General features: G+C 37.0%; 1 protein-coding gene across 9 annotated transcripts in view; it reads right to left on the bottom strand.

Moving 5' to 3' along the window:
* TINAG (tubulointerstitial nephritis antigen) overlaps positions 1-14,645 on the bottom strand; it is an 82,281-nt gene that overhangs the window by 58,558 nt on the left and 9,078 nt on the right. For 6 of the 9 annotated variants that reach the window (XR_001743344.3, XM_006715062.3, NM_014464.4 and 3 more), the window contains 3 exons: positions 10,943-11,006; positions 10,199-10,288; positions 4,669-4,783 (listed from right to left, as the gene is read on the bottom strand). Coding sequence is in view for 8 of the 9 variants with exons in the window: in XM_006715062.3 (XP_006715125.1) it covers positions 4,669-4,783; positions 10,199-10,288; positions 10,943-11,006 (269 nt within the window). In the remaining variant the exon portion in view is untranslated. Of the gene's footprint in view, positions 1-4,668; positions 4,788-10,198; positions 10,289-10,942; positions 11,007-14,645 lie in introns of those variants that run through there. The other 3 variants (XM_011514497.3, XM_017010747.2, XM_017010748.2) reach the window with 2 other exon arrangements.

Raw genomic sequence — 14,645 nt, 5'->3', positions numbered from 1 at the left:
TTGAATAAAAGTGGTGAGAGAGGGCATCCTTGTCTTGGGCCAGTTTTCGAAGGGAAAAGCTTCCAGCTTTTGCCCATTCAGTATGATATTGGCTGTGGGTTTGTCATAGATAATTCTTACTATTTTGAAATATGTTTCATCAATACCTAGTTTATTGAGTGTTTTTAGCATGAAGGGGTGTTGAGTTTTATCGAAGGTCTTTTCTGCATCTATTGAGATAATCATGTGGTTTTTGTTATTGGTTCTGTTTATGTGATGGATTACATTTATAGATTTGGATATGTTGAAGCAGCCTTGCATCCCAGGGATGAAGCCGACTTCGTCATGGTGGATAAGCTTTTTAATGTGCTGCTGGATTCAGTTTGCCAGTATTTTATTGAGAATTTTCACATCGATGTTCATCAGGGATATTGCCCTGAAATTTTTGTTTTTTGTCGTGTCTCTGCCAGGTTTTGGTATCAAGATGATGCTGGCCTCATAAAATGAGTTAGGGAGGAGTCACTCTTTTTCTATTGTTTAGAATAGTTGCAGAAGAAATGGTACCAGCTCCTCTTTGTACCTCTGGAATAATTTGGCTATGAATTCGTCTGGTCCTAGACTTTTTTGGTTGGTAGGCTATTAACTACTGCCTCAATTTCAGAACTTGTTACTGGTCTTTGTGCAGGGATTCAAATTCTTCCTGGTTTAGTCCTGGGAGGGTGTATGTGCCCAGGAATTCATCCATTTCTTCTAGATTTTCTAGTTTATTTGCATAGAGGTGTTTATAGTATTCTCTGATGGTAGTTTGTATTTCTGTGGTATCAGTGATGTTATCCCCTTTACCATTTTTTATTGTGTCTATTTGGTTCTTCTCTCTTTTCTTCTTTATTAATCTGGCTAGCGGTCTATCTGTTTTGTTAATCTTTTCAAAAAACCAGCTCCTGCATTCATTGATGTTTTGAAGGGTTTTTCATGTCTCTATCTCCTTCATTTCTGCTCTGATCTTAGTTATTTCTCGTCTTCTGCTAGCTTTTGAATTTGTTTGCTCTTGCTTCTCTAGTTCTTTTAACTGTGATATTAGGGTGTCTGTTTTAGATCTTTCTCATTTTATCCAGTGGACATTACATGCTATAAATTTCCCTCTAAACACTGTTTTAGCTGTGTCCCAGAGATTCTGGTACGTTGTGTCTTTGTTCTCATTTGTTTCAAAGAACTTATTTATTTCTGACTTAATTTTGTTATTTACCCAGTAGTCATTCAGGAATCGGTTGTTCAGTTTCCATGTAGTTGTGCAGTTTGGAGTGAGTTTCTTATTCCTGAGTTCTAATCTGATAGACTGTTTGTTATGATTTCCATTCTTTTGCAAATGCTGAGGAGTGTTTTACTTCCAGTTATGTGTTCAATTTTAGAATAAATGTTATGTGGTGCTGAGAAGATTGTATATTCTGTTGATTTGGGGTGGAGAGTTCTGTAGATGTCTATTAAGTCCGCCCGGTCCACAACTGAGTTCAAGTCCTGAATCTCCTTGTTAATTTTTTGTCTTGTTGGTTTGTCTAATATTGACAGTGGGGTGTTAAAATCTTCAACTATTATTATTTGACAGTCTAAGTCTCGGTAGGTCTTTAAGAACTTGCTTTATGAATCTGGGTGCTCCTGTATTGGGTGCATACATATTCATGATAGTTAGTTCTTCTTGTTGCCTTGATCCCCTTACCATTATGTAATGCCCTTCTTGGTCTTTTTTGATCTTTCTTTGTTTAAATTCTGCTTTATTAGAGATCAGGATTGCAACCCCTGCTTTTTTTTCTTTCCATTTACTTGGTAAATATTCCTCCATCACTTTATTTTGAGCCTATGTGTATCTTTGCATGTGAGATGGGTCTCCTGAATACAGCACAATGATGGGTCTTGACTCTTTATCCAATTTGCCAGTCTGTGTCTTTTAATTGGGGGAATTTAGCCCATTTACATTTAAAGTTAATATTGTTGTGTGTGAATTTGATCTTGACATTATTATGCTAGCTGTTATTTTTCCCCTTAGTTGATGCAGTTTCTTCATAGTGTCAATGTCTTTAAATTTTGATATGTTTTTGCAGTGGCTGGTACCAGTTTTTCCTTTCTATATTTAGTGCTTTCTTTAGGAGCTCTTGTAAGGCAAGCCTGGTGGTGACTAAATCCCTGGGCATTTGCTTGTCTGTAAAGGATTTTATTTCTCTTTCACTTATGAAAGTTAGTTTGTCTGGATATGAAATTCTGAGCTGAAAATTCTTTTCTTTAAGAATGTTGAATATTGGCCCCCACTCTTTCCTGGCTTTTAGGGTTTCTGCAGAGACATCCACTTTTAGTCTGATGGGCTTCCCTTTGTGGATAATCTGATCTTTCTATCTGACTCTTCTTAACATTTTTTCCTTCATTTTAACCGTGGTGAATCTAGTGATTATGTGTCTCGGGCTTGCTCTTCTCGAGGAGTATCTTTGTGGTGTTCTCTGTATCTCCTGAATTTGAATGTTGGCCTGTCTTGGTAGGTTGGGGAAGTTTTCCTGGATAATATCCTGAAGTGTGTTTTCCAACTTGGTTCTATTCGCCCTGTCACCTTCAGGTACACCAACCAAAGGTGGGTTTGGTCTTTTCACATAGTCCCATATTTCTTGGATGCTTTGTTTGTTCCTTTTCATTCATTTTTCTTTAATCTTGCCTTCATGCTTTATTTCATTAAGTTGATCTTCAATCTCTCATATCCTTTCTTCTGCTTGATTGAATCAGCTATTGATACTTGTGTATGCTTCATGAAGTTCTTGTGTTGTGTTTTTTCAGCTCCATCAGGTCATTTATGTTCTTCTCTCAACTGGTTATTCTGGTTAGTAGTTCCTGTAACCTTTTATCAAGGTTCTTAGCTTCCTTACATTCAGTTAGAACATGCTCCCTTAGCTCGGAGGAGTTTGTTATTATCCACCTTCTGAAGCCTACTTCTGACAATTCATCAAACTCATTCTCTGTCCAATTTTGTTCACTTGCTTGCAAGGAGTTGTGATCCTTTGGAGAAGAAGAGGCATTCTGGTTTTTGGAATTTTCAGCTTTTTTTGTGCTGATTTTTCCTCATCTTGTGGATTTATCTACTTCTGGCCTTTGATGTTGGTGACCTTCGGATGGGGTTTTTGCGTGGGTGTCCTTTTTTTGATGTTGATGCTATTGCTTTCTGTTTGTTAGTTTTCCTTCTACCCAGTCAGGCCCCTCTCCTGCAGGTCTGCTGGAGTTTGCTAGAGGTCCACTCCAGATCTTGTTTGCCTGGGTATCACCAGCAGGGCCTTCAGAACAGCAAAGATTGCTGCCTGCTCCTTCCTCTGGAAGCTTCATCCCAGAGCAGCACCCACCGGATGCCAGCCACAGCTCTCCTGTATGAGGTGTCTGTTGAACCCTGCTGGGAGGTGTCTCCCAGTCAAGAGGCATGGGGGGTCAGGAACCCACTTGAGGAGGCAGTCTGTCCTTTAACAGAGCTCAAGCACCATGCTAGGATATCCACTGCTCTCTTCAGATCTGGCAGACAGGAAAATTTAAGTCTGCTGAAGCTGCTCCCACAGCTGCCCCTTCCCCTAGGTGCTCCGTCTCAGGGAGATGGGAGTTTTATCTATAAGCCACTGACTGGAGCTGCTGCCTTTCTTTCAAAGATGCCCTGCCCAGACAGGAGGAATCTAGAGAGGCAGCCTGGCTACAGTGGCTTTGCTGTGCTGTGGTGAGCTCCACCCAGTCTGAACTTCCAGGTGGCTTTGTTTATAAGGGGTGGCAGTTTATAAGGGGAAAACCGCCTACTCAAGCCTCAGTAATGGCCGACGCCCCTCCCTCCACCACGCTCGAGTGTCCCAGGTCAATTTCAGACTGCTGTGCTGGCAGTGAGAATGTCAAGCCAGTGTATCTTAGTTTGCTGGGCTCTGCGGGGGTGGGATATGCTGAGCCAGACCACTTGGCTCCCTGGCATCAGCCCACTTTCCAGGAAAGTGAATGGTTCTGTCTCACTGGCATTCCAGGCACTACTGGGGTATGAAAAAAAAAACTCCTGCAGCTAGTTCAGTGTCTGCCCAAATGGCCACCCAGTTTTGTGCTTGAAACCCAGGGTCCTGGTAGTGTAGGCACCTGAGGGAATCTCCTGGTTTGCGGATTGCGAAGACCATGGGAAAAGCATAGTAACTGGGCCAGAATGCACCATCCCTCACAACACAGTCCCTCATGGCTTCCCTTGACTAAGGGAGGGAGTTCCCAGCCTCCTTGCTCTTCCTGGGTGAGGTGACATCCTACCCTGCTTCTGCTCACCCTCCATGGGCTGCACCCACTGTCTAACCAGTCCCAATGAGATGAACCGTGTACCTCAGTTGGTAATGCAGAAATCATCCACCTTCTACGTTGGTCTCGCTGGGAGCTGCCAACCAGAGCTGTTCTTGATCGGCCATCTTGCCAGCCCATTCAATCATTCCTAAAGGAGACTATGTCTAATTGGTAACAGTAAACTTGCAAATCTCATATGAAACTTTTGAGGGGTTTAACAACCATTTAGGGAAAGGGTTTTTTATTTATGTGACAAAATTATGACTGAAAGCTCAAAACTCATTATTTTAGTGATTTATAATTGCTTTTAATGCACACACAAACACACTTTTACAAATACATGCACATACGTGAATCAGAAGGAACACTTACTGTCATTTCATTCATGCTCAGGAGCATGGGACTAGGTGGCAAAGTGCCAAGGCGAAATTTAAAACCATCTTCTAAAGTCATTCCCCAAAATTGGCTGTAATTCTGTGCTGTCCATCTGCCTTACAAATGAGAGAAAAATATAGAAAAATATATACAGGTTATATGACATCACTTTTATAAATACATTTTCCTTTATATTTCTGAAATTTAATAGCAGCAAATCTCACAATATGAGAATTGTCACAGGCTAGATATTCTTTATATAATGATGCATTATTGATTATTTTATAATCAAGGGTATGAGATACTCTTCCTAAATAAGGTCCATTTCAAGTATTTTAATGATTCTTACGAAGAACATAATCCCACAAAGGGATTAAGTGTTAATAAGGCCAATATATGCAGTTTCCTTTAAATGCCATTAAATGCATCTTAGAAAGAAGCTTAAATATACAGAAATGCACTTATACATTAAATAGGTTAATACATTTTCTTTAAAATTTAGATTTGAAAAGAAATTGACAAGGTAAAAAAGTATGCATGAAAAATGAAGGATAAAATAGGTATAATTTTTAAAAATGACATCAGATTTTTAAAAATTAATTAAAAATCTAATTAATCAGATATTGAAATATTCTATTATATATTAAATGAGTTCATTTGTTTTAAGTGCTCAATCATCTTAGTTATTAATAATAATAAAAAATCAGTTGATGTGAAAGTGCATATTTTTGTAGAGACATATTTTGTGCCCTTAATTAGAAAAAAAATTCTCTTCAAAATTTAATATTGAAATTTGAAGACAAACAAAATTTTTTACTAGATGATAGTGGATAAAAAATTAGAAAGATGCAAGTAATTTAATCATTGCCTATTCTGAATTATCTACCACTTTAGGTCAATATATTTTCAGTACTCACATCAAATTTAAACCCTGTCCTGCTATGTTTATCACCAAAATCGTTTATAATGTGATAGGCTCTTATGAATCATTGAAAACACAACTTAATTTTTAATAATATACCTCACAAGTTAATGCTTTTAATTTGTACAAGATCTGTTAGTTCATAAAATCTTTAGAAACTTGGTTACAATTTAAAGTGCAATCTCAATAAGGGAACCTCTGAATATAAGAGATATTGTAGTATAATTCAAAAGGCTAACTGGGCAAAATTGGGCAAAACTGTGACATCAGTAAGTATGTTTTTGTTGCCCTATGTTAGTAGTTTTCAAACATCAGGTCAGAGACATTCATAGGTTATTTAATTCAGCACTCAATTTGGTGAGCAGGGTGATAGTTTAAGAAAGTAAAATAGAAGATAGGAGAAATAATAGGAAATAGTAGAGTTTATTACAAATACTGAGGTAATAAACTCTCTGTGTCTGTATGTGTGTGTTGATGCTTGTGCACGTGTGTGTGTACTAGATCACAAAGTAAAATGTATGTTCTACTGTGAGATATGCTCAAAAAGTGTGAAAGGTATGACTAACCTATAACATCCTTCTTGACCTGGACTCATAAGTTTCATTTTAATCCAATTTAGCATTTATTGAACTTTCTTAATTGATCTATCATATTCTCTGATAAACACGGAGAACATAGATATGAATAAACTTCTCTACATTTAAGAAGCTCATACCTTAAGAAACACTGCAAAGATAGAAATGACTTTGGCATGTGCCATTTGTTAGCAATATATCAAAATATGATCAAAAGCTTCAAACACAACTGAAGGAGTTGGCAAATTTTTTACATAAAGCAAATTTAGTTCTCTATCTGGAAGGATGAGAATGACCTTGGTGACCAGACATGAAAGAAGAGAGCATTTGTTTAAAGTAAAAGTAACTCTTGAGCAAAGCATGCAGGTTTGAAGTTGGGTGGCATGTTTAGGGAATGACAGATAAGTAAAATGCTTAAACTAGGAGAGAGGATAGGGACACAGGGGCTGAAAACGGTATAAAAGATAAGGTAGTAAAAAAGCTTTTGGACCAACATGTTATTTATGCTAAGGACAATACTTATGTTTCACAAGCAATGGAGTACCATTGAGAATTTCTGGAAACAGAAACAAGTCAGGTAATTTCAAACTAGGCTTGATAAAGAAATGCATTAGAATATAGTCTAGAATGGAAGAAGTAAATATCTAAGAGAAACTTTTTGTGTGGGAGTTAGCAATACCTACTGACTGAGAGTAAAAGGAAGGAAGAACCAAACTAACATCAAATTTTCAAGTTGAGCAGATAGAGCAAGATGCCAGTGACTAAGAATAGGTAGAAGTTAATCACTGCAGTTTGGGGTGAGCTGGTTTTGAGAAAACAGTGAAAAATGAAAGCCACTTATCCAGTAGACCAAATTTTGAGTTCATAAGAAAGAATCTATTTCACTAGCCTTTGAATGTAAGCTGGCCTAGTAACTTGCTTTACCCAATAGAAAGTGGTAGAATTGATATCATGAAACTTTCAAGCATAAGCTTTAAGGGAGGACTGGGGCAACTTCCACGTATGCCCCATTAGAATAATAATTATGAGAAGAAGCCAAAGCTAGCCTGCTGGAGAAACATGGCCCAATTAACATCCTGCACCAACCACAAGACATAGAGTAAGGCCATCACAGACAATTCAGCCTCAGTTGAGGCTCTGTTGACACAGGAGTAATTCCAAAAGAGAGCAGCAAAAGAGCCTCAGTTGAACCTATTCCAAATTGCTGATGTGAAAAGATGAAAAGCTTATCGTTTTAAAATGCTGAATCCTGGAATGGTTTGTTATACAGCAGCAGTTAATTGAAACACTTATATATCTCCCTTTATTCCACTAACTTGCTGATTATTACTTGTGCCACTAATTTACAGCTTCTATTCTCCCCTATTATTAGAAATCCTTTTATAAAGATATGATAGTGTTGGCTCCTCAACTAGATGGTAAATTCCCTTAACATAAAAATTATTTGTTTTTTTGTTTTGTTTGAGACAGAATCTCACTCTGTGGCCCAGGCTGGAGTGCAGTGGTGTGATCTCAGCTCACTGCAACCTTCACCTCCTGGGTTCAAGCAATTCTAGTGCATCAACCTAACGAGTAGCTGGGACTACAGACCTGTGCCAGCACACCTGGATAATTTTTGTATTTCTGGTAGAGATGGGGTTTCACCATGTTGGCCAGGCTGGTCTCAAACTCCTGACCTCAAATGATCTGCTCGTCTTGGCCTCCCAAAGTGCTGGGATTACAGGCATAAGCCACTTCGCCAGGCCAAAATGATTTATTTGTATCCTCAGCCATGCCATCAGTGGAACATATGTTTTATTAATATCAACTGATTACATTAAAAAATAATACAGAGAATAAATAAGCACTGAAGTACATTACATAGAATAAATAAAGACTTGGATCTAAAATACTGTCAAGATGTGGGAAAGAAATATTTTAAACCAAAGATTGCATATTTGATGTAGGCTATTTTAAAAAGCACTTAATAAATATTGAATGATATAATATGGTTATATTTTTACACATAAAAACAATTTGAGCATAATGAAGAGAGAATAGCTGAGAATTAGAACTTTCTTTTAAATTTAAAGACTTCCCCCCTTTTTTGCCCTGGTAAATAATTTTAGTTTTATTTCTTGTCTTTATAGCTTGCTCCTTTTACTTAACTTTTTTCCTTTGGTTTTTATATGTTTCCTTTTGCTCCAATTATACTTCACTTTCTACTCTTTTAAAGTTATGTGATGTTTTAATATTTGCTACTAAAATGCAAAGCCCATGCCTCTTAAGCAGCCGTAGGGCATGCTCAAAATAAATAAATCATGGAAAGAAAGTTCCTCCTTCCAAGGAAGATATTAGGTTGGTGCAAAAGTAATGGTGGAGTTTTGCACCAACCTAATAGCATTCCCAACAACCTCTGTGCTCCTAAGTGTGTATTCTTAGGTGTACCACATTGGTTTAGACTATAGTTTCTCATGTACTTGTTAACAGTGGAAAGCTAGGAATGTATGTTAATTAGGTCTAGCATTTGAACCCTTTTAGGAATCTGATTCAATTTCTCAAGATGACATATACTCTCATCTTCTTTGAATAATTTAAATATGATTTGCCACAGAAAATTATAATTGGTTTTCCCTGGAAATACTGAAGATGTCATCAAGTTATCTTCTAAAATATTGGTTTAACACAAACACACACACTCACAAACACACAGAGGAACTGAGAATGGTTTAAGGATATTAATATCAACAAATGTGACTTTCTATGTTTTGTATGTTCCAAGAAAAAACTTTGAATACATTGAAATTTAGTGTCCCCATTATGCTGGGAAACAACATGTTATATGTGGAAGGAGATTACACTTCCATTTTATAAAAATACTTCTCCAGATTATTTCACTTTTCTAATTGCTTGATAATAGATCTTTTTATGTGAAATCTTTTCCAGAAATGTAGAAGATGTTATCAAGGGTATATCGAGATTCGTTCAATGGCAGTGGAGAAATCCTGAAGCAGATACCAGCTGGCTTGTTCCTCTTCCTTTTAGTTCTATAATAAAAGCCAGTGTTGGCGCCTGTATCTTTTTATGTTTCTTGTTTTTTTTTTGTTTGTTTGTTTTGTTTTGTTTTTTTGACAGGGTTTCACCCCCCGATTCCCATGCTGGAGTGCAGTGGCGCAATCTCGGCTCACTGCAACCTCCGCCTCCCAGGCTTCAGTGGTTGTTGTGCTTCAGCCTCCTGAGTACCTGGGATTATCGGCATGCACCACCATGCCCAGCTAATTTTTTCTGTATTTTTAGTAGAGATGGGGTCTCACTAGTTGTCCAAGCTGGTCTTGAACTCCTGGCCTCAAGTGATCCACCCACCCACCTTGGCCTCCCAAAGTGCTGGGATTACAGGCATAAGCCACCTCGCCGGGCCAGTGCCTACATCTTAATTTCCTCTATGTAAATGGAGACGCCACCTAATTTTTCAATCTGCATGAGAGCATCAGTTATTTCCAATGTTTCAGTGTCAATCATCCCTACTTTTTGTGTACTAGCAAAGTAAAGTAGCTCAATCTGTCTTTTGATTCAACCGTAAGTGACATTGGTTAGATACCCATCATTTCAGTGAAATTATTTAGATTGGCTTGTTATTTGAATATCATCCTTGTAAGGTCAGATTCTACCCATGATAGCTAAGCATGTGATTGGCTTGGTGAGGGCAGCAGCAGAGGGAGAAATGGTTAGTATGAATACATGAATTTTGCTGACTTCCTGATTTTGCCTAAATACTTATCCAAAGTAGCTTTCCCTCCACTTCCCTTACCTACACCACGACATTGCTCTTTCCTAGATAATTTACAGCTATGCTGTAGATTTATTATTTGATCATTTTAATTATTTAATGTTTACCTTTGCATTCCAGGTTTACATGCTTTCTATCTCCCTTCCTATTTCTCTCCCACTCTTTCTTTTTAAACAATGACCATTTATAGAAACCAAGCAATACATTGAAACCTGCATAGTAAATGGCAGTGTCAAGAAACATACAAAGCAAGATTTCTCTCACCCATAGTCTCCTTTATTGACCTGTTCAATTAATTCTGAACGAACAAGGCATACATGCTGGGAACATTTCCATTGCTGTCCTGAGCATGTGCTGCAAAGATATGACAATTACAAAAGTGGCTTGGTCTTTATGAAGTATATTTCAATTAGTAAAAAGAGTTATACATTGTTAAGGCATAAAACATAATTTCTTGATTAATGTTAGCCATATGGTTATTTGATTCTTGGCAAAAATAAATTGTAAAACATACGTTAGCTACCACTCAATATGCTGTAATCCTCTACTCCAGGCAATTAACAAATGATATGATCACACATCTGCTGAAGTTTGAAAACAAGCCAAATTGGACAGTAGATTCAATGTACTTGTATTTGGAAACTTTCTGCAGGCTAGTCCTTTTAAAGCAGCCTGTTTTTATATAGTTACTGTGCTCAAAAAACACAATTTGCCTTAGGGTATCAGAATATTATAATTAAGAGGTACATTTAATGAAGACCTGTTGTATGATGAAGACCCATTGTCAAGAACATCAACCTCAAACATTAAAAGATATTCATGATTAAATTTTCAAAATCCCTTAAAATTAAATATGCTTATACAAAGTTACAGGTACATGATGTCTTATGATGTATGATTCTGCCTATATGTACATAAATGTATACTTTGGTTCACAAATATTTCTTTTATTTGAAGAAAACATACACACACAGTAGAACTCAGTTCTGTGCCACTTAAATTTATTACCAGGAGTTGCAGTTTTCTTTAATTACTGATCCCTCTTCATAATGTTGACCATCTTTGAAGCAACCTGTCAAAGTAACATGTAAAGAAATGAAAATGCTAAACTAAGTAATAAAGTGCATTAACATAAAATGTAATCAAAAATCATAGTTAGCTTTTCAAATATGCAGACATGTTTGGTGCCAAAAAAGCTGATAGAAATCCATGTCAGGTTTGTGTCAAGGTGTGTATATCGAATTCTTCTGTGCTTGTTTCAATGCTTTTATCTTTAAACTGCATATTATGTTCCAACAGGGAGGATTTGCAAAACATGAAAACAAGATTACCAAGGAATTAATCACTATGCTTAAAAAATAATTAATGCTTTTAAGTAAGTAAACAATATAATAGTATTTGAATTGATTTATGGCATGTCTCATTTAAAAAAACAACTAATCAAGTCTCATAAGTGCTTATAATTAATTGGATATGACTGAAGCAAGTAGCTTTGGACTCAAAATACCAGGTCATTTCATTGAATTTACCTTACAAAGACAAATTCTATTTTTTTCTTTAGGATCTGAATAAGGGAAAAAATTCAGGAAATCAATAAGATTGTAGCCATTTGCCTTCCAAATCCAAATGTTTCTTAACTGTTAACTGAAACTAGTTATTAACTGCTTTATGAGATTATATGAACTACTCAAAAGAGATGGATGGTGAATCATTATCATATAAAAACCACTAGTAACATATTGTAAAAATAGTGCTCTGGTTAAAAATTTAAATTCCTTTTGAAAATATAATCTGCTCAAATTCAAAATTAACATTGAATTAGCAAAAGGGACTCAACTTTGTCTAGTGAGACTGTTTTTGATAGAAACATGTAATTGGTATTTTATGCCAATGGCCTCTAATTAAACAAAATGAATTTTAACCTTTTATTCCTAAAATCATAGGGCAAACTATAGGTTTAGAAAGCATTCTAAGGGACCTTGTTTAACTTCTAGCCATAATGTTACAAAGCCACTTAAGGAATTAGCCATTGTTTGATTTTCCAAAAAATATTGTAATAAAAAATATTTCATAACTGCCCCTCCCCTGGATGTTTCACAGTCCAATATTCTACTTAATGAATCTAATTATTTATGTATTTACGTCTAGGCATCCCTTTCATATGGAATTTTGGTACGTCACAATCATGGGATAAGAAAAGGAAACCACCCTTCTCTTGACCACAGTTTTCCTAATGCAGCAAACCCGAGATGTAGGAAGACTGAACTTCACATCAAATTCATGGTTTTAATTGCTACATAAGATTAGACTCCTTTCATAACTGAATCCACAGTATGTTTCTAATTTAAAGAGATTCTAAAATATTTTATTACCTAGAAACAACAGAAAATCCATGCAACAATCCAAGTTTTCATTCAAAGCCAAGAGAAGTACTTTCCTGACCATTCTTAAAAACTGAGAGTGTGGGATAAAAACAAAGCTGATTTTTAATCATACCTCATGAATCTTGAGTGTTCAACATATGAATTCCATGGATAAATGGAACAGACATCTCAAGGGTCCTTAAGGAAAAAGACCTTAATACTCAGCTGAGTATTAGCTGACTTATACTCAGCTAATAATTTTGAAGTCAGGGGACCGCCATTACCAAGCCACCCCAAATCATCAACACTAAATTTAATGTTAACAAAAACTCCATTTCTTGGTCATCCTTCCTTAATTTCATGTAAGAGATAACTGAGACATTGCATTCACTTTAATCTAGCATGAGAATTAATCTCTTGAGCAAAAGCCATAATCAGTTACTTCGGACCCCGGTCAAGGTGTTGACACAGTAAAGCATCAGTGTCTATATAATACCCAGACGCAGTCCACTCACTCCTTTGCTACAATCCTTCCCAACTCCAACGGATCCCTCATTTCCCACACAGCATTTACAGAGATCGTCAAAAATATACATCATGTAGCTTCCTACTTAAAATCTTCAAGTCGTTTCCCATCAAATTTAGAGTAAGACCAAACTTCTTACTGTAACCTATAAGGCCTTATCCAAAATGTCTCCACCCTAATCTCTGCACTTATCACTCCTGTTGAGCTGACTAGGGTGGAGGTTCCCAGAAGCATGAAGGATTAGCATAATAGTAGTGAGGATAGAGAGAAGTAGGTGGATATAACTTGGAGGTAACTCAAAGGGAATCACTCATGGATTGAATCTGGTGAATGAGGGAAAAGAGGAATCAAAGATACCTCATTAGGACTTTGGCTTGAGTAATAAAGAAATGGTACAGCTATCACTAAAATAAGAAACAGGCTTGTGTCAAGAAATCAAGACTGCTACTGTGTATATTTTAGATTTAGATAAAACCTAGGCTAGACATCCTAACAGAGATATCAAGTAGACAGCAGTTTATAAAAGACAAGAGTTAAGCCCAGGCTGGAGCATGAATTTGGGAGACACCAACATCCATATCTACTTTTTCAAACACAAGACTAAATAAGAGTCTTTTGGAGAGAGTGTATATAGGTAAGAGAAAGTGGTCCAGGACTGAGCTCAAAACACTGCATCTGACAGACATTCAGAAGAGGAAACTGCGAAGGAGTGGCCTGTGAGGGAACAGAAAATTGAGGAGAGGGTGGTGTCATGAAAAACAGGGTTAATACAGTGTTTCAAATGCTCTAGGTGGTCAGCTGCATACAGTACTGTCGAGAGGCCAAGAACACAAAAACAGACATCTGAATATTGCATTTGGTAATGTAGGAATTGCCAATAACCCTGCCAAGAGAGATTTCAGTGAAGTAGCAGGGAGCTGACATCCTGTAGGAATGGGTTGATGAGAGACTTGGAATAAGAAAGTAAATTTTTCTTTCAGACATTTTGCCATTAAAGGAAAGAAGGGAATGAGATGGTAGCTGGTTAAAGACATGAAGTTAAGGGAGAGATTTTATAAAGTTGGGAAAGGCAAAAACACATTTTGGAAATTAATGGTTAATCCACATGTATTAGCCTGTTCTCACACTGCTAATAAAGACATACCCAAGACTGAGTAATTTACAAAAGAAAGAGGTTTAATAGACTCACAGTTCCACATGGCTGAGGAGGCCTCACAATCATTGCAAAAGACGAAGGAAGAGCAAAGAGACATTTTATATGGTGGCAGGCAAGAGAGAGCTTGTACAGGGCAACTCCCATTTATAAAACCATCAGATCTTATGAGACTCATTCACTACTACAAGAACAGCATGGGAAAAACCTGTCCCCGTGATTCAATTCCCTCTCACTGGGTCCCTCCCATGACAGGTGAGAATTATGGGAGCTACAATCCAAGATGAGATTTGGGTGGTGACACAGCCAAACCATATCACCAGGAGAAAAGAAAAGAAAAAAATGATGCTTGAGAAGAAAGAGAGAGCAAGAAAGCGAGAGAGAATGGTAGAGATGGAGGTATTGAAAAGATAAGAGAAGATGGGATTCAGAACTCAAGAAGGGGAGTCAATTCAAGGTAAGCAGTAACCCAGATGGAGGTAGGTTGAAAACTATGATTGTGGAGATATGAAAGAATTCCTGTCCGGTAGCTTTACTTTCTCAGTAAAATATGTCTGGAGCTCCTCAGAGTGAGTTAATTAATTGGTTACACACAGCATCTTGACCAAAAAAACAAAACAAAACAAAGCCAAAACTAATGACTGTTGAAATTACGGCAGTTTTGTGACT

Source organism: Homo sapiens, chromosome 6, assembly GCF_000001405.40.
Source record: "Homo sapiens chromosome 6, GRCh38.p14 Primary Assembly".
Taxonomy (NCBI): Eukaryota; Metazoa; Chordata; class Mammalia; order Primates; family Hominidae; genus Homo; species Homo sapiens.
This window is presented reverse-complemented; position numbering and strand designations above follow the sequence as displayed.